The sequence below is a fragment of the Homo sapiens genome, chromosome 6, assembly GCF_000001405.40.
Source record: "Homo sapiens chromosome 6, GRCh38.p14 Primary Assembly".
NCBI lineage: Eukaryota > Metazoa > Chordata > Mammalia > Primates > Hominidae > Homo > Homo sapiens.
This window is the reverse complement of record NC_000006.12, coordinates 49,510,064-49,529,835: the sequence shown is the minus strand read 5'-3', so window position 1 is coordinate 49,529,835 and position 19,772 is coordinate 49,510,064. Positions and strand designations below refer to the sequence as shown.

Here is a 19,772-nt window from a genome sequence, read left to right as displayed (position 1 = left end):
AAACTGAACAAACAATTTTCCCTGCTACAAATTGCTCCAGATCTGAGATTTTTCCAGGGTTTCTGATCTCAGTGAAAACTATCACCAGCTGTGGCTTTCACAACGTAGAAGCCCAGTAGTCATCCTTGACATTTCTCTCTCAGCATACCCTACAGCCACTAAATTATTAAGTTCTGACAACTCTTCCTTTTAAATAGTTTAAGTAACTGTTCACTTTTCACCATTATCATTGCTAGCATTCAGATCCAAGCTACCACCACCTTTTGCTTAGCTTATAGCCTCCCAACTAATTTCCAAACAGATTAATGCGCTGCTTAAGGCTTTTTTTTTGGTTTTTATATTACATTGAAGAATTTCCTTGAATTAACAAATAAAACCTATGTTAATCAAGCCTCTTCCTACTTCTTTTTGTTGAGACACAGTCTGGCTCTGTTGCCCAGGCTGGAGTGCAGTGGCGCTATCTTGGCTCACTGCAACCTCTGCTTCCTGGATTCAAGTGATTCTCATGCCTCAGCCACCCAAGCAGCTGGGCTTACAGGCATGTGCCACCATGCCCAGCTAATTTTTGTATTTTTAATAGAGATGGGTTTTTGCCATGTTGGCCAGGATGTTCTCTAACTCCTGGTCTCAAGTGATCCATCTGCCTTGGCCTTCCAAAGTGCTGGAATTACAGGTGTGAGCCCCCACGCCTGGCCCCGTTTCTACTTCTTGAGTTTTTCTCTTCTCCTTGTCCTCTCCTTACTCCAGACTTTCTCTGCACATGCCTTAAAAGGGTCAGAAACAGTGTTAAAAGTTGAGCAATTATATCCAACATAGTTAGCTGGAAGATGAAAGTAAGAAAATAGTATAAGAGCAATTTGGTAGGAACAAAAATCTTTCAAATATGGGGTCTGTTTTGGAGGTGCGGGTGAAGGTAGAAAATTCAGAATGTAACGAGATAAGGGAATAATTATTTACAAACTGTTCCAAGCTGCTTAAGAGGCCAATTAGCATAATGACTAGTAGTATAGGCTTTGCAATCCAACAAACCCATGTTCTGATCATGATTTGGCCACTTAGAGCCTGCATGACTTTGGTGACTCATAACACCTCTAAGCAAGAATTCCCACAACAAAGCAATACCTTATCCCTCACCAGGATTAAGTTATATACATCTCATATTTGGTACAATTATTAGCACATAGTTAAACGTTAAATGTCAGGCAAATTATCATTAGGAAGAAAATAAGGCTATAATAATATTGCTATATATCAAGCAGGATTAACTCATGCTTAAGCGATGCTAAACATAATTAGCGTCCTTAGGGCATATTCTCCTAAGAGGTTTATGGACTCTGGTTACTTGGTGCTTTCCCCTCTGGATCCAAGGCTAGATAAGTTTCCAGGTAACTGTGGGCTCAGGATGAACTAAGCATATATTTACTCTTACTGAGTCCTATTTTTTTAATTAAAATGTGTTTTACTTCAGCCAGTTTGCTTCCTTTTCTCAGAATGAATGCCTGAAAGTTGGATTTTCCCTTATCTTTGTAGTCAGAATTTTGTGACCTCCTTGGGGATAAGAAACCAATATTTTCTATATAGCTAAGTCAACATTATCAAGACAAGGCAAATCTAACTATTGTGTTAGTGCCTGCTTTTATTATAAATAGAGAACAGAGCTGGTGATGCTTATCTCTTTCTTTACTGACCTTGAAAGGTATACATACACAAGCAATCAGAACCCAAATTAAGAAATAATGACAAGAATAAGAGAAAACTAAAATTAATATTTTAATTATGTAAGCATTTTAATTTTCATTATAAAAAAGGATACATGATTTAGTGAAAATAACAGATTGGAATTAAAATGGCAGCATTCTGGCTTTGCCTCCAGTACTGATTATAAAGAATATAATCTTGAAAAAGTCATTTATTTTCTCTGGTCCTCAAATTTTTCATATGTAATCAAAGGGTTAAAATTTATTATCTTATCAAAATTCTATGAGTATATACCTATACATATAAAAGAAATGAAGAGAATGTATATATATGTGTATGCATATATGTTATATATTCATTTGCATACCCCCAAACACCCCTATATATAAATCTTAGTTTTATATGGGAAAGTAGACTATAAATAAGGGGGCTGAAATAGGTTATAGGTAAAGTCTAGTTCTATGGTGACAGCATTTGTTTATAGCATCAAAATGCCCATATTGTCATTCATCCAAGGCAAATAAGCAGTGGGAAGCTGTTAGAAATGCAAATTTTGGGCCCTACCTCGTAGAAGGAGAGGCCTAGTGATGTGTGTTGCAACCTGCCCTCTGGGTGATTCTGATAAACACTAAAATGTAAGAACCACTATATTTGAACATTCCCAGGGCAGTGAACTATAGGCTAGAGTCCTAGGCAGAAGTAAAGAGCAAGTAATTAAAGGGGAAAAAGGAGGTTACTCTACAGAGAACTTGGTGGCAGAGGTGTTAGGAACAGAGGTTGATGAGACATAGCAGTGGGGACAGGGGAATATGATGGCAGTAGGGAAGCGGTGTGGCTTTAAGAATACAGAGCAGAGGTCCAAGCAGCAATCAAAAAGCAGTAGCCACGTGGTCCTCTGTTAAATCATTTGTTCTCATGCAGTAATTTCTCCTAGTACACTAAAACTGCTGGCTTTAGAACCTATTCTCCTACAGTGGATCCTACAGGAGGACAATCGTCCTCAGTCTTCAGCCACAGCTACTCTTCACCCCCACAGCTATTTACTGGAGAAACCTGAGATACGAAAAATTAAGGCTTCTCAAGTGGATCCTGTATATATTCTCCAGACCCTTTCCAACAACTCAAGAGTCCCCTGATTCCCATTTTAACTCTCCCCTCGTTGGCAGCCAAGAGTGTGTGTATGCTCAGGGAAAGTAATAAAACCACTGCAGTTTTTTACTGGGCTAGAGGTGAGGCAGGCCAGAGAAAGTCGCAGGGGTGAGAATAAGCCTGTGGAAGCGACAAGGCAAGAACTCAGCATGGAGACTCTTCAGGAGGCTTATAGACGCCGTGTTGTCATCCAGGACGTTCCCCTGAGAGGGGAATCCCCGGCTTTGCAACTTCCTGGCCAGCGTGAGGGCCACCAGCCGGCTGTAACCTTTCCTGCGATGTTCTGGCAGGGTGTAGCCATGGCACATGGTGGCAAACTGGTCTGTGATGGACCAGGAGACCGGGTTTCCCTTCTCATCCCGGACACACACACTAGGGAAGCAGGAGATGAGGTTGGCGATGTACCGGAGACATTGTTCATTGCCTCCCCGGGACCAAGTCCGGTTGAGTAGATCCGCATTGGCAACACTCAGGTAGGTTAGTCGTGGGGAAGGCCCCTTGCTAGACCAGAATGACACAAAAACAAATAGGACCTCAGACTCATGTGGTTATACATAACTACACATTTTTTTTTTCGAGACACAGTCTTGCTCTGTCGCCCAGGCTGGAGTGCAGTGGCGTGATCTCTGCTCACTGCAACCTCTGCCTCCCGGGTTCAAGCAATTCTCCTGCCTCAGCCTCCCAAGTAGCTGGGATTACAGGCACCCGTCACCATCCCAGCTAATTTTTGTATTTTTAGTAGAGACGGGATTTCACGATGTTGGCCAGGCTGTTCTCGAACTCCTGACCTCGTGATTCACCCCTCCCGGCCTCCCAAAGAGCTGAGATTATAGGCGTGAGCCACCATGCCCGACCTATAACTACTCTTTTCATATTGGTTCAAACTGAGAAACCATCCCTGAGAGGGCACCTAAGATTTTCAGTGAGTTAGAATCCACCATTCCCGATTTACCAACACCTTTCCGGGTTTCATTTCTGAGAAGACAAAACACTTATTACATCAAATTTAAGTCGTTGCTTCTAATTTTATGTTCACTTGCTTTTGCCTTCAGCACAGGTTAAGGAAAGTGTTTCTGTTGTTAAATAAATTAAGTTTGGCCTGCAGCTCCCTCCATACCTTGAGTCCCCGCGTGTTGAACTGCAACCTAACTTGACACAAAACCAACCCTAGAACTATAATGCACAGCTGAGTTTGTTATACAAGTCAATCACAGGCAGGTAAGTGAGCAGACCATGCCCAAATATACCTAACTGTTGCCAATCAGAGGATTTACCTACTTTGCTTCTGTGTCTGGCGTATAAAATCTCCCACTGGTGGGTATAACTCTGAACTTCTCATTCTGAGTGCTGCCAGATTCATGAACTGTTCTTTGCTCAAATAAACGTTGCTGAATTTTTTTTTTTTTTTTTTTTTTTTTTTTTTTTTTTGAGAGCCTTGCTCTGTCTCTCAGTTTGGAGTTGCGGTGGTGCAATCTCGGCTCACTGCAACCTCCACCTCCCCGGTTCAAGCGATTCTCGTATCTCAGCCTCACGTGCGTGTGGGATTACAGGTGTGCCACCACGCCTGGCTAATTTTTGTATTTTTAGTAGAGACAAGGTTTCACCATTTTGGCTAGGCTGGCCTCCAACTGCTGCACTCCAGTGATCCAACATCCTAGACCTCCCAAAGTGTTGGGATTATTACAGGTGTGAGCCACTGCACCCAGACCAACGTTGCTAAATTTAATCTGTCTAAAGTTTTTCTTTTAACACTTTCTGTAAACAACAACAACAACAACAAAAACCCTCAGAATTGCTTTTATTTAGTCCTGACTCTGCTGAAATCCTCTCTGAGGCCTTGGTAAGTCCAGATTCTTGAAGCCCTAATCTTTTGCTCAATAAAAAAAAAAAAAAAATGTTTTAGAATAGAACTTCTGTGGTTATGCATCCATGGCCAAAAAAGAAATAAAATCTCTTAATATGCCAAGCATATGTGCATGCTTTAGAAATGTTTGTTCTTTTTTTTTTTTTTTTTTTTTTTGAGAGGGAGTCTCGCATTGTTGCCCAGGCTGGAGTGCAGTGGCTCACTGCAACCTCTGCCCCCTGAGTTCAAGCGATTCTCCTGCCTTAGCCTCCCAAGCAGCTGGGATGACAGGCGCGTGCCAACATGCCCAGCTAATTTTTTTATTTTCAGTAGATATGGAGTTTTGCCATGTTGGCCAGGCTGGTCTCGAATTCCTGACCTCAGGGTGATCTACCCGCCTCGGCAAGTGCTGGGATTACAGGTGTGAGCCACTGCACCTGGCCATATTTGTTCTTTAAAACTGTCTCCTCGGCCTGCTGTTTTCTAGGTTAAATAGTACCAACCTTCAACTTTTCCATTGGCAGTATTTGTATAGGCCACTAGCTTTCACTGTATTTATTCTAATGGTATGAAAGTTTTTATTAGTTTACTATATAAAGCCCCTGATATTAAGATAAAGAAAAAGAATTGCTGCAATTTCTCAAAACTGAAATGGATTACTTAGTTGAAAGCCTATGAGGCTGACAGTGCCTCAGAATTTGCTCTCAGTCTTAAAGCTATTAATATCATAAGACTATCCCCAGTGACCGGTAAGAGATAATGTTCTTGTCATCATTTTTATAAAGTAAAAATTTGTGTTTTCTTTTAATTAGAGGTGTGTAGTGTTATTGCACATTTCAGGCATATTATCAGCTATGGAACTGGGCCAGTCATCTATCCACTAAGCAGGGGGAAAAAATTAGCTGGCCTAATGGAATTTTCAATTGAGTTTTTGAAAATGAACTTTAAAGCAGGCAGAAATATCACTGCAAATAAAATCATTGCTAAGGCAAGTGTTTCAGGAGTAGTTGTGTTAGAGACTCTGACCTTGTTTCCAAAGGGCTGGGTGTTCAAAATAGAGTTCACGCAGTTGAGTAATGACTTAGGTGTTAAAGGCAAATTGTTTGCATCAGTGTTGTGTGGGAAGTTAAGAAAAAAAAAAAAAAGACAAAATGTCTAACTGTATGCAGAAGAGTTCAAGTTAAAACCCCATTTCAAAAGGCTTGACTGGACAGAGGAAATTTTAAAATAATACCTCAGGCATACAATAGTAAACAGATTATGGGATACTTCAAAGAACAAATAACTTGGTTTCTTCAACAGAAAAGTAATGCAAAAAATAAAGATGAAGGGGAACTTATAAGTCAAAGGAAACTTCAGATGTATTAAAGAGGTCTATGTATGAACCTTGTTTAGATGTTGATTCAAAACAAGCTTAAAAATATTACGACAATATCGGAAATATGAATAATGTTATTTTACTTTAAGGAAATATGTTAACAGTATTTTAAGGGAATGTGCAGAAAAGACTAACATAGAAGGCTTGAGGCCATCGCCCTTAAAAAGGCCGAATTGCAAGGTTGACCCTTGGTTGGTGTCTGAGAACATGGATCTGGAGGGGGGCTACCATTTCCAGGACTCACATAAATGGCTCACTGTGATTAAGTTGTGCAAACAGTGTGGGTTTTGCTGAACATTGGCTTTCCTTCTGCGAGTCTAGGAAATCAGTCTGTGCTAGGCAGAGGATGCTGCCAATAAAATCCTGGGCACTGAGTGTCTAATAATAAGTTTCCGTGGTAGACAACTTTTAGCAGAGCACGGTGGCTCATGCCTGTAATCCCATCATTTGGGGAGGCCCTGACAGGAGGATTGCTTGAGGCCAGGAGTTTGAAACGTTTTACACATATCATTACAGGTCATTGCTTAGGGACTGAGCACATTCTGTGTGACTCCACTGAGAGAGAACTCTTGGAAGCTTGTGCCTGGCTTCCTCTGGACTTTACACAATGCTCCCTTTCCCTTTGTTGATTTTGCATTTTATCTCTTCATTGTAATCAATCATAGCCGTGAGTATATTTGCTGAGTCCTGTATGTCAATATAGTGAACCATAGAACCTGTGGGTGTTCTTGGGGACCTCGGACACAGGAGTAATATCCGTATAGTGGGTGTTTTTTTTTTAAGACTCATTTTTTAGAGTTACATATTAAAATATTTAAGGATAATGTCTGGGACATTTTCTTCAAAATAATCCAGGAAGTGGAAAGAATATATAGTTGTATGAATTAAATAAGGTCAGCTATGTATTGGTGGGAGGTTCTTTATACTATCCTTTAAACATTTATGTGTGTTTGAAATTTTCATAATTAGAAATACAATAAAAGAAAATCCAGTTGCTTTCCTATGACTTAAAATGTACATTCTTAAGGTTTAGTGCTGTTTTGCTCAACAATTTCTTCAACATTCACTGTAGGAGTAAAGAAAATTAACATTCGTTGAGGTGGGTGATTTTTAACTATCTTGCTTCAGTCTCTTGCAAAACAACGTGTCAGGAAAATATTACAACTTTTTTTAATATTAACTGGCTTGGTTTAATCATTCTACAGTATATACATTTATCAAGACATCACATTGTACCCCATGAATGTGTACAATTATTATTTGTTGATTTAAAATGATATTAATTTAAAAAACACTTAAAGGAACGAATTCAGAAGAAATTGAGACTCAGAAAGGTAATTAGTAAATGACAGAGCAGGGACTCCAAAAGAAGAATAAATGCAGATACAAACTAATGAGTGTTTTGAAAGATTGCATCTGGAGTTGGACTTGGGATTCTTTCTTGGCTCTATAATTTGCCCTTGTGTGTTACTTCATCTCTGTTTAAAAAGGTGTGTGGGGGTGGGAGGGGCAATAATAATAGTCCTACTTCACAGGGTTGTGGAAAGAACTAATGGGATAATATATTTAAGATATGTAGTCCCTGACACATAAGAGCGCAACATAAGTCAGCTATATACCCCCATCCCTGAAACAGCAAAATCAATAACAACTTTGGACTCAGACAGTATATATTATTTAGAATTATTTGAGGGATAAGGACACCAAGGAATGCTTTTTCCATGGATACTATGAAAACACAGGAATTCTGAGTTCATTTATAACTATGGACAAATATACTGATTTGATTTTCAATGAAATTATGAGCAGTCAAGCACAGGAGAGAGGAGAAGAGTAAACACACACACACACTCACACACATACTCCCGTTTGTGCTCAATGGTTGAAATCCAGAGTGCCTGGATATTCCATAGTGATACTAAGTACCCCAGTTACTGCTACGTGTACTTCTATAGCAGTAAGTCCTGCCCCAAATGCAAAAACTTGGTTTACATACAGGAAACTGGTATCTGGCAGAGATGAAACAGGAGAAAAATGAACAGCCTTGAAGGAAGTTAGCTTTATATTCAACTGCTTTGAATTGGCAACCGCTTTGGAAACATCATATAACTCACTCTGCAGCCCTGTGTATAGAAAGACATAATTTAATATGTGGGCATTTTAGTTGAAAAAGCAAAAAGGAAATTTGTTGCAGTAATTTTATACTGAGAATCATCAATACTAGCAGTTTGCCACCTTGTATTATCCTAACCACTGTATACTTACATCTAAATTATTACAGCTATTGTCTAAGTTTCAAATTTTTGTAGGCGTTTCAAATTCCCATGATGTTGCCCATTGGGACCACTCATCACGATCTTCATAGAAACTTATGATGGGAATATCTCACGGGACTTTAGAATTTCTTGGGAGAATATTGATACTTTGGACTCTCGGACTAACCTTAAGCTCCACGAAATAAAGGATGACATTTTAGAGCTCTAAAAGTCTATGAAGTATACAAGAGCTTAGATTTGTTTGGCGTGGCAAACCAACTTCAAAGACTCTCTATTACACCTCGCCATTACAGAACTCAAGGTGTAACTCAGTGTTGGTGAGATTTACCCTGAACTTACCTCACCCAGATTCCACTTGTCATAGTTATTTGATAAATCTTGATTCAGTAGGTGTTGTATATATATAAAGTACTGTACTAGACAATGTTCATAGTGGTACACAAAAATGGTATGGTTTCTTTTCTTTATTTTATTTAGAAACAGGGTCTTGCTCTCTTGCCCAGGTTAGAGTGCAGTGGAATGATCATAGCTTACTATAACCATGAACTCCTGGGCTCAAATGATCCCCCTCTTTCAGCCTCCTGAGTGCATGCCACCACTTGGCTGATTTATTTTTTAAGTTTTGTTTTGTTTTGTTTTTGTAGAGATGGGGTCTCCCTATAAGTCCAGGTTGGTCTCAAACTCCTGGCCTCAAGTGATCCTCCTGCCTTGGTCTCCCAAAGCGCTTGGATTACAGGCATAATCCACCATGCCTGGCCCTTCCTGGTCTTTGTTCTTAGAGAGGTTATAGTATGATTCCTTTCTCCACCTTTCCAAATCCCCATCTACTCCATCCTTTCCAGCCTGTGTCCTGTTGGATTGAATTCTCTGCAAACTGACTTCCCCTCTTCCCATGACTAATGGCTTGTTTCTTCCCCACTGGTAAGGCTCTTCAGTGTGGGCCTGGGACTTCTTGAAGAATGCATGAGTGGGAAGGTGTATTGAACACAGTGTGGTATCGGAGCCTTGGCTCCTCCCTCAGGGAGTTAAGCCTCAGAAAAGATAAGTAGGCTTTTGAGTTAATGTTATTAAAATTACAGATGCTGTGGCTAGTATCTCATATTATAACACTGAATTCCATCTAAGTGATTCAAAAGACTATGAGAAAAAAGGAGGCAGTGCCTACTTTTCAAGTGTGTGTTCTTAAACACACTATAGTTTAATTTTGGTCTCAAATTTTTTAATCTACCTGTTTTCCTTCAATCCCTACCCCCACTCTTTGATTCTTTCAGTTTATTTGTTTAAAACACCGAGGTGTTTGCTGTGCAGTTTTCACAGTCTTGGATTTTGTTGATTGCCTCTTCATGGTGTTCTTGATCATGTCCTTTTGTCTTCTTTACAAGTTACGACTTTTAACAAATGATTTTCTCCTTTCCCACAAATGAAAGGAACTTCCCATCTTGCTCTGCCTCTTTCTACCTACCTTCTATGAGAAGAGTGGCTAACTGGATAAGCCAGAATTCAGGACATTTATTAGACTAGTTACCAATAAGCAGGATTCTGAAACTCTCAGGTTAGTACACATGTAGATTATCTTTTTCACGTCAGTGCAACCAGTAGTGAGCAGAAGAGCCTGGCCTGTGTGGGTAGCTGTATACTTTTTCACTTCCTGCTTTCATATGGCAAACTAAAGGGGTTTAGCTACTCTGGGTAGCTTGTTGGGTTAAACATGATTTAATATTGTTCATTAATGGCTCTCAGATTAAAAATGACAAAGGCATTCCTATGCAGGATATGTCATTCCTCTGGACATCAAGTCCTGAAGCAGCTCCACCACCTAATGCTTGATCTACCCAGTAGCCAAACTAGTATCTGTGACTGGAGCCTGCACTGTGGCAAATGTTGATCATGTATATGGCCAGTAGGTAGGCTTTTTGAATTGTGTTATGGAAACAGAGAGGATTTATGACCTTTTTGGATACTCCAATTAAGAATAGTAAACATACCAATGACTTCTTAGAAGGTATTCAGTATTCCAAGAACATTACAGCTATTACCACAGAAGTCTGTAGTCAAAATACCACAGGAGAAGCCGAAGGTAATGTCCAGGCTGACTTATGTGCTAAATGAGGGACCGTTACTACTCCAGCTATATTAGGTGATACTAATTCACATTTGTCCCCACCAAACCTTCAGAAAGAATGATTGGGTCAATTTAGATGACTATAACTTACAACTATCAGCTCAGCCTTCTGAAAAAGATATTGGAAATTATATAACTTTTTTCTATATAATGATGGATTGAGGTGATTTAGTGATAATAGGCCTCTAGCACCAAGATCCATCCAATTATTACCATGATTTTTCACACCAATGAGGAAATTTATTCATTTCCATGTTAAAGTAATACCGGTCAGAACATTTTTTTCTAAATTGGCTGTGGAAGTGATAGAATCATGTCTCATTTCTAACCAGCGTGACTGGGGCAAATCTGTAAAGGTGAGAGATAGTTTAGAGCTTCTTGCATAAGGTCTTTTTGCGCATTTACGAATAATTTTTTTCTTTTTTTTTTGAGATGGAGTCTCGCTCTGTCGCCCAGGCTGGAGTGCAGTGGCGCGATCTCGGCTCACTGCAAGCTCCACCTCCTGGGTTCACGCCATTCTCCTGCCTCAGCCTCCTGAGTAGCTGGGACTACAGGCGCCCGCCACCATGCCCGGCTAATTTTTTTGTATTTTTAGTAGAGACGGGGTTTCACCGTGTTAGCCAGAATGGTCTCAATCTCCTGACCTCACGATCTACCCACCTCGGCCTCCTAAAGTGCTGGGATTACAGGTGTGAGCCACCGCACCTGACTACGAATAAATTTTATATGACATCTGAAGTCTTTGGGTTATGACCATGTGTTAATCATTACTTGTAAATTTTCCAGGTGGATAGAAGCTTTTCCTTATTGGAGGACCTCAGCTTTCTGTAGTTGAAAAAAAATACTAGACTTTAGATTTCCAATATGAGGTTCCCTACTTTCCTGTTAAATGATCAAGGAACTCATTTCACTGGAACAATCATAAACAACAACATTATTGCCTGTGCCAACACCTAATCATTATGAAAAGCTGGAAGAGTAAGTGTACACTGACGCGGAAACTATTCATCTAAACTATCAGAAACCCTTAATCTTCTTCTCTCCTGGCATAAAGTTCTGCCCCAAGCCCTGATGGCCATGCCGTTATCTCCTCACAGCTCATATAAACTCTTTCTGTATAAAATCACTTTAGCAGCTTAGTCAATATGGTGAGATCCTGTCTCAACAACAACAACAACAACAAAAAAGGGCCCTGAATGGTGCCACCTGTAGTCCTAGCTACTCAGGAAGCTGAGGAGAGAGGATCCTTGAGCCCAGGAGTTCAAGGCTGCAGTGAGGTATGATCACACCACTGCATCCAGCCTAGGTTGCAGAGCAAGACCTTGACTCAGAAAAAAAACAGTCATTTGAGGACATTTTATGCAGATCAATCGATTATTTCTTTCCAGAATCATCTGCTTCAGAAAAAATAAAAGGCCTACCTATTGGCTAAGACCTAAATTATAGTTATTTTAAAAATGTGATAGAAAAGGATTAAAACCAATAAGGAAAAATATTCTCTGATTCTCACTGATATCCATCCATATTACAGTAATAGTAGAAAAAACATGTCACCTAAGAACAGCTCCATTTAAATGGTCTCTTTTTACCCTGAAGGCCATGCATGCCTCATTAGAAGTGACAAATGAGTGTTCTTACAACACTAGAATATAGAAATGGTAAATGCATAAAATGTATGTGTATGTATTTATACATACAGGTGTGTATAGATAATCTATATATTTTCATATATATGAAATATCTATAACTATCTGGATATATGCTAAGGAGGAAAAAAAAGACTGTGTAATATAAGTCTTGCACTTGACCTCACCTTGTATTTGAAAAACTTGGTCCCAGTTAAAAACATCACATTCTTCCAATAGCTGTCGATAAGCCCTGACATCCTTGTAGAACACAGCATAGGCATTAGTATAATGATCAAGGTTATCTGTCTCAGCCTAGGACAGAAGACATAATCACAAAAACATAAACGTATTATCTGGATAATCCAAATCTTAGGTAGATTAGATACCGTTAGCTGGACATGTCTAGCTAATTTTTATAGGTGGCTAACAAAATTAGACCCCTATAAAGCAATGGCTAAATGGGAATGGGGCTAATATGCTGTAGTGAGGGGAAAATGAAGTTGTGTAGCTTTTGCTTGATTCTTTCTTCTGGGATTAGGAAAGAGTTTTTCTTTGTCTTTCTTTCTTTTCTTTTTTTTTTTTTTAGACAGAGTCTCACTCTGTTGCAAGGCTGGAGTGCAGGAGAATCACTTGAACTGGGGAGGCGGAGATTGCAGTGAGCCAGTTCAAGTGATTCTCCTGCTTCAGCCTCCTAAGTAGCTGAGATTACAGGTGCACGCCACCACACCCAGCTATTTTTTGTATTTTTAGTAGAGATGGGGTTTCACCGTGTTGGCCAGGATGGTCTTGATCTCCTGACCTCATGATCCGCCCGCCTAGGCCTCCCAAAGTGTTGGCATTACAGGCATGAGCCACCGCGCTCAGCTGATTTTTTCTTGATTCTTTCTTCTGGGATTAGGAAAGGTTTTGTTTTGTTTAAAAATTTTAAAAATTATTTTTTATTTTTTAGCAACAGGGTCTTGCTTTGTTGCCCAGGCTGGAGTGCAGTGGTGAAATCATAGCTGACTGTAGTCTCGGACTCTGGGGCTCAAGCAAACCCCCTGCCTCAGCCTCTCAAGTAGGTGGGACTACAGGCACAAGCCACCACATCTGGCTAGGAAGGTTTTAAGACATCTATTTCACATTTTTCTAGGATTTTGTTTATTTATAAAAATAAAGAGGGTATATAACTCAGTGGATTCACCTCCAAGAATTACAACTCTCAGAATCTTCCTAATGTGGTCAGGACGGTACCTCTTTGGCCACATGAGCTTCTCCTTGGTCTCGGGGCAGATGTTGTCTTCACTCTTCTTCCAAATACCCACATGACCAAAGTCATCAGTCATAAGGAATCATTCACCCAGGGAAAAAGCTAGTATCTGTAAGTCAGCCATTTGTGCTTCATCCTTCTAGAGATCATGAAACACTAAGGAACCACTTTATTGAACATGTTTGGACTAGAGGTTTTTCAAGTTCCTGACACTCTGAAGCCAGTCAAATTAGAAACTAATGCTGAGGCTGGGCATAGTGACTCATGCCTGTAATCCCAGCACTTTGGGAGCCCGAGGTAGACGGATCACCTGAGGTCAGGAGTTCGAGATCAGCCTGGCCAACATGGTGAAATCCCATCTCTACTAAAGTGTCTACTAAAAATACAAAAATTAGCCAGGCATGGTGGTGGGTGCCTATAATCCCAACTACTCAGGAGGCGGAGGCAGGAGAATCGGTTCAACCTGGGAAGTGGAGATTACAATGAGCTGAGATCATGCCACTGCACTCTAGTCTGGGTGACAGAATGAGAGAGAGAGAGAGAGGGAGGGAGAGAGGGAGGGGAGGGAGGGAGGGAGGGAAGGAAAGAAGGGAAAGAAAGAAAGAAAAGAAATGAATGGTGAAACAGTGTTGTAAGCTAATGTAAATGGCTACTATGATTATAAAATACCATTACCTACTTTTTCTTTCCAATTCTTATTATTTTTAAACTTTTTACCTTTCAAAACTGTACCTCTCTTTGTCGTCGGGTGATAACAGCTTTGAAATCCGGCCATGAATCCAACACCACTTCCTTTTGAAAGGGGTTCCCACGATTTATGTTCATCACCGCTCCGTAAACCTGAGTCAGATAACCCAGAGACAAGCCAATCATACTATTAGCTGTTTCACTCACATATTATCGTCTTTACCTCTTGTTCTACTGTGTAATCATGTCCACAAGAGGGGAAATTATAAATATATATATACATACATTCAGACACATAATAGACACGTATATTAATTTTTCTATTATTTTATCAGTGCACTTGAAAACTTGTAAAAAGTCTATGAAATCCTATAAAAACTCTTTCCAAACCTAGTTTTTTATAGGATAGCAGTGAGAGGTACCAAATTCATAGGCTTACTAGGTGGGTACTTGGCACATAGGTCAGCAGTAAATACTTGCTGAATGAATCAGGATAACATATGCTCTTAGGGTTCATGCATATTTAAAAATTTCTGCAAATAATTTTGATGCTCAGCTTCTTTTCAAGCCCAGTATACTACTTGAAAATAACCTGTGAAATGCGACTACTTCTTCAACCCTAAATTACAATTAGACATCATTAGAGGGTGACACCAACTCAAATTAAAACAAACAAACAAACAAAAACTGTACTTTAGATTTGATGGAGCAAGGCTCTATAAGCATTCCCTGAGGGCTATAATGATGTCTCATTCATTATTATGTCCACGGAGCCTGACATAGATGATTGAATGCTTGGTGACTCAACCAAACTGGAATAATATTATAATTCTTTCTGTGGCCTTTCACATTTTTTATTTTCTTTCTTTAAAGTTTGCCCTTCTTTTATTATTATTATTATTTTGCGACAGTATCTCACTCTGTCATCCAGGCTGGAGTGTTATGGGGCAATCACAGATCACTGCAGCCTTGAACTCCTCAGTCTCGCTCTGTCACCCAGGCTGGAGTTCAGTGGCGCTATCTCTGCTCACTGCAACCTCCGCCTCCTGGGTTCAAACAATTCTCCCACCCCAGCCTCCTGAGTAGCTGGAACTAAGGCAAGCACCACCACACCTGGATAATTAAAAAAATTTTTTTTGTAGAGATGCGGTCTCATTATGTTGCCCAGGCAGGTCTCGAACTCCTGGGTTCAAGTGATCCTCCCACCTTGGCCTTCCAAAGTATTGAAATTACAGGCATGAGCCACCATATGCAGCCACATATTTTTATCTACTAAGAAAGATGACTGTCCTACAAAATAGCTTGCATATGTCACATGTATGCTTGTAGAAGCTGGACAAAGTTGGTGGTAACAAAGACTGCTGAACTATAGGAATCCTTTTTACCACCATTCATGTTCATCAACAGTGAAATGAATAAGTACATTGTCGCACATTGGTACTGTAGATTACAAAACAGCAATGAAATTAATTTCACAAACATAATGTTGAGCAAAAGAAGTTAGATACGAAAAAGATACTTACTGTGTGATCCAATTTATGTTACATTCAAAACAGGCACAACTAAATTATGGCTTTGGAAGTCAGGATAGTGGTCACTTTTAGGGAACAGGGAGAGGTAGCGGTTGGAAAGGGGCATTGCAGGTGGGAAGGAGTGACGTCAAAAGTAATTTTCTTTCTCTGTAGTAGTGGATGTTATGTAGGCATTTGCTTTATGAAAATTCATTAATTAAATTTCATAATTAAATTGTGTGCACTTTGTAGCTAGCATGTGTTAGATTTCAATGGACTTTGTTTTGCTTTGTTTTGTTTATAAGGACATTGGAACCTACATTTACCTCCCTTATCACTTTTTTGTTTAATTAAAAACAACTTTTTTAAAGAAAGGGGACCTTGCTGGCCTTGAACTCCTGGGCTCAAATGAACCTACTGCCTCTGCTTTCCGAGTAGATGGGACTACAAGCTTGCTACTGCACCTGACTTTATCACTATTGTAATCTAAATCACTCATTTTCTTCAATGCCTAGAATTGTACAACTTTCTTCTATATTACCCAATCTGGACCTCATTCACATATCCTCATAGAAGGAGTCTTTCCAAATTGGGTTCGGCTTATATTATTGTGTAACATGGATCACCCTTAGTGAAAATTCAAGATCTAAAGTAACCTGGAAGGGTCATGTTTGTTCTGTTAATCATTAAATTATGTGGCTGCTCATCTTGCATATACAGAGTAATGTTTATTAATAAGTTTCACATGAGGAAACTATACATTCTTACTCAAGAATGTAACCTAAATATGATTGGAATGCTCAGCATCTTAAAAGGCAAAAACCCTTTCAATATTCAGATTCAGAAAGAAAAAACATAACTTATTTGTATAGGATTTGGAACCAACTGAAATATTTGACACTGGTTAAATACAAACTCTTCCAATAGCTATTTATTCAAAGGGTGAATGTTGAGTTGAGGGGGTGTGGCTAGAAGGATATCAATGTGCTGGGGGAATGAGATGAGAACTTATGAAGGAACTTTGGAAGGATATTTAATCACTTAAAAACTAAGCTGAGGTTACAAAATCCATAGCCAAAAACTCCAAAAAATGGAGGAAGTTTAAATAAATGAAACTGTATTTTCTTTAATATTTTAATTCTCTAACACCTTTTATTATCCTGTAAAGGTCACTGAAATTTTTTTCATTATCTCTGGAAAAATAATTATTTGGACATATTATTAAAGCAAAGTAGCCTACCATTTCATTCCATTAATTCACTTCAGTGTCAGCATTGATCTTGGGAAAATTTGGGTTGGATTGTCAATTTGGTACATTTTATTTTTTAGCCAAATGATTCCAAATTCTTATTCATATTTTCGTTACCACATACAGTTTAAGCATGATCAATAAGGCAAGATGGCCAGATTTAATTCACACAGTATAGTGCATTAGAGGACTCCTTCTAGATCACTTTTGTTCAAATTTTAATGTACATAAGGATTAAATAGGGTCTTTGGTAAAAATGCAAGTCTCTGTGTTCACAAATTCTTATTTGTTATGTATCTCATGGGTGATTTGCATGCCACTCACATTTGAAAACCAGGCATAGGGCAGTCTCCTTGCTCAAGAAATTCAGCTCTTAAAGGCAATTTCACTGCATTTATAACAAGATCTAAACCTCAGTTTTATTATTTTAACTAGATTATGTTCTTAACTGCAGTGCCACCTAGTCCATACCCTTCTGCTATTTAAAATACTTTAGAACTCAAATTTATTTAGAAATAATCTAGAAATTACCTAAATTTCCTTAGGAGTCATCCAGGTGACTATGAAAAGTGTAGTTTCCAGGGGGTGAGAGGAAAGGGGAGGGAGAGCATTAGGACAAATACCTAATGCATGTAGGGCTTAAAACCTAGATGATGGGTTGATAGGTGCAGCAAACCACCATGGCACATGTATACTTATGTAACAAATCTGCACATTCAGCACATGCATCCCAGAACTTAAAGTTAAAAAAAAAAAAAAAAGAAAGAAAAAAAAAAAAAGAAAAGTGTAATTCCCTGGGCCTTATCCACAGTCTATTCAATCTGTCTCTAGCAGGAGGGAGCTGGGAAGCTGTATGTTTAACAAGTGCTCCTAGAGAGTCTTATTATCAGAAAAAAAGGAAAATAGCCACAAGTTTGACATTATTTTACAGATTAACACAATAAAGAAATAAAATAAAATTATTAATTTTATGGTACCTTGAGTGATTCAGGAAAGCAACTCTTCAACATTTTCTCCAGTATCAGTAATTTGGTAGAACAGTTTAGCACCAACATCTTTTCCAGAGCTCTTGCAACTCCACACCTAATTAGAAACTTGAAGGTAGGCATTTAATTTTTGCCTGTTAATATTTGGATCTATTTAGGAGTTTTCTTGTAATTCTATTTTCATTGGGTATAATTCTGACTGCCATTGCTCCCCCTGAAGAGGGAAAAGGGAAGATGGGGAGGCACTGGGATGGGTAAACCGGAGAATACATGGGAAGTGTTAATGACCTAATCCCAAACAGATGTGAGTATCTATCCTTGGTTAAGTCTATTATATACATTGATTGTACTCTAAACTCTGTCTTCAGAGCATGTATAACAGTTGTAATTTTGTATTTATTTGTGTTTTATTTGATCTAAATCCATCCTGAGTAACCTATAAGCTGTATGAAGGTAGGACCGATGCCTTCTTTGTGCTCCACTGTATCCACAGCACCTGCCAAAGGACCTGGCACACAGTAGGGACATTCTAAATAGTTGATGAATGGAAAATATGAAGCTCAGGGTAAGAACCTCGAGCTAAGTTGGAAAACATCTTTTTCACAATGTGGGGCAAAGACTAGAGAAAGACTTGAGTGGGTCGGGTCGTTATGAGGAAAAACTGGAGAGAAATACCTAGATTGAAGATGAAGAATCAGAAGTGGTCAAAGGCTGACACTCATTTTAGCCTGATAAAATTAAAGAAAAAAGAAGGGCCTAAATGTAATGTATGCAAAGTCATCTGTTCTCATGCAATTAGATTTTTTTTAGATTTGGGGGCTTCACCTCGCCTGCTTTGTTCCCAAGAAAACTTTTTCTGGCATTCCAATCAGGGATGGACTGAATTAAAGAAAAAAAATATTTCCTACATTCAATGTAGCAGAGCTTATCAACTTACATCTGGCAGACAGGCACTAGGATGGCAAAGAGAACTCAGCTAGACAGGAGAACATGGTGCCTCTGGGGTTGTGGTGGAGAGCTGGGATTATTCCTTTACAACGTATTTTCCAGGTAAAGAAAATTCTACTCAATTTCTCTATGTGGCATACCCCTGTGATTACAAGATACCCTGAATATTCAATTGTAATCTACCTAAAATCTCCTGTAAAATTCTATCATGAGGTTTATGTGAGCCTGAACCTCTGGAAAGCATATGATCAAGCCCTGTGGGCTCTAGTTCACTGAGTGGTACACTTGAGGTGTCTGTGCTCTCTGCAGGAGTCAGAAGAGATTGCAGGGGCCAGGGCAGCACCCGAACATTAAGAGGCTTTTGAATCCCAGTCTGGACCAATATTAGAAACTTTGAAAAGATCTAGTTTCCAGACTTCAGGATGGCAAAGAAAGAAGTACAGCCATCATCTCTTCACTTTTTCATCTGCTTAACTTTTCACTCATTTGTGTCATCTCTAAATACAATTTTAACTTTGTAATAGATACTTATTTGAAATACATTTATTTATTCGAATTCAATATATCCTGATAGAAAACGAAACAAAATTATTTCAAAGGGCAGTGGAATGTGAACCTCTTAATTAGGTTTGATGTCTAGAGATCTTTTTATGCCTGAATACTGAAGTAGCAAATGAAAAGAGTACGAATTAGAACATTTGTTGATAATTTGCTCCTTTATTACCTGGTTTGTTCCCTGAAGGATCTAAAGCCATTTATGAAAATACTTAGGCTGGGCGTGGTGTCTCATGCCTGTAATCCCAGCACTTTGGAAGGCCGAGGCGGGTGGATCACCTGAGGTCAGGAGTTCGAGACCAGCCTGACCAACATGGAGAAACCCTGTCTCTACTAAAAATACAAAATTAGCCAGGTGTGGTGGCACATGCCTGTAATCCCAGCTACTAGGGAGGCTGAGGTAGGAGAATCGCTTGAACCTGGGAGGCGGAGGTTGCGAGGTTGTGGTGAGCCAAGATCATGCCATTGCACTCCAGCCTGGGCAACAAGTGCA

The 19,772-nt window shown here is 39.3% G+C and overlaps 1 protein-coding gene across 1 annotated transcript in view, besides 1 other annotated feature; it reads right to left on the bottom strand.

The window, feature by feature from the left end:
- Positions 1-1,757: 1,757 nt before the first annotated feature.
- Positions 1,758-19,772, bottom strand: part of GLYATL3 (glycine-N-acyltransferase like 3) — a 28,156-nt gene continuing 10,141 nt past the window's right edge. The window contains exons 2-6 of the mRNA NM_001010904.2: positions 17,768-17,873; positions 14,076-14,183; positions 12,280-12,406; positions 8,065-8,191; positions 1,758-3,348 (exon numbers count right to left, since the gene is read on the bottom strand). Coding sequence (NP_001010904.1) covers positions 2,922-3,348; positions 8,065-8,191; positions 12,280-12,406; positions 14,076-14,183; positions 17,768-17,845 — 867 coding nt within the window. The 5' untranslated portion in view covers positions 17,846-17,873 and the 3' untranslated portion in view covers positions 1,758-2,921. The remainder of the gene's footprint in view (positions 3,349-8,064; positions 8,192-12,279; positions 12,407-14,075; positions 14,184-17,767; positions 17,874-19,772) is intronic.
- Positions 9,901-9,950: a silencer, noted in NCBI's record as "silent region_17276". NCBI's record gives its function as "represses an Ori minimal core promoter by ATAC-STARR-seq in GM12878 lymphoblastoid cells {active_cell/tissue: GM12878}" and the evidence as "EXISTENCE:reporter gene assay evidence [ECO:0000049][PMID:35858748]".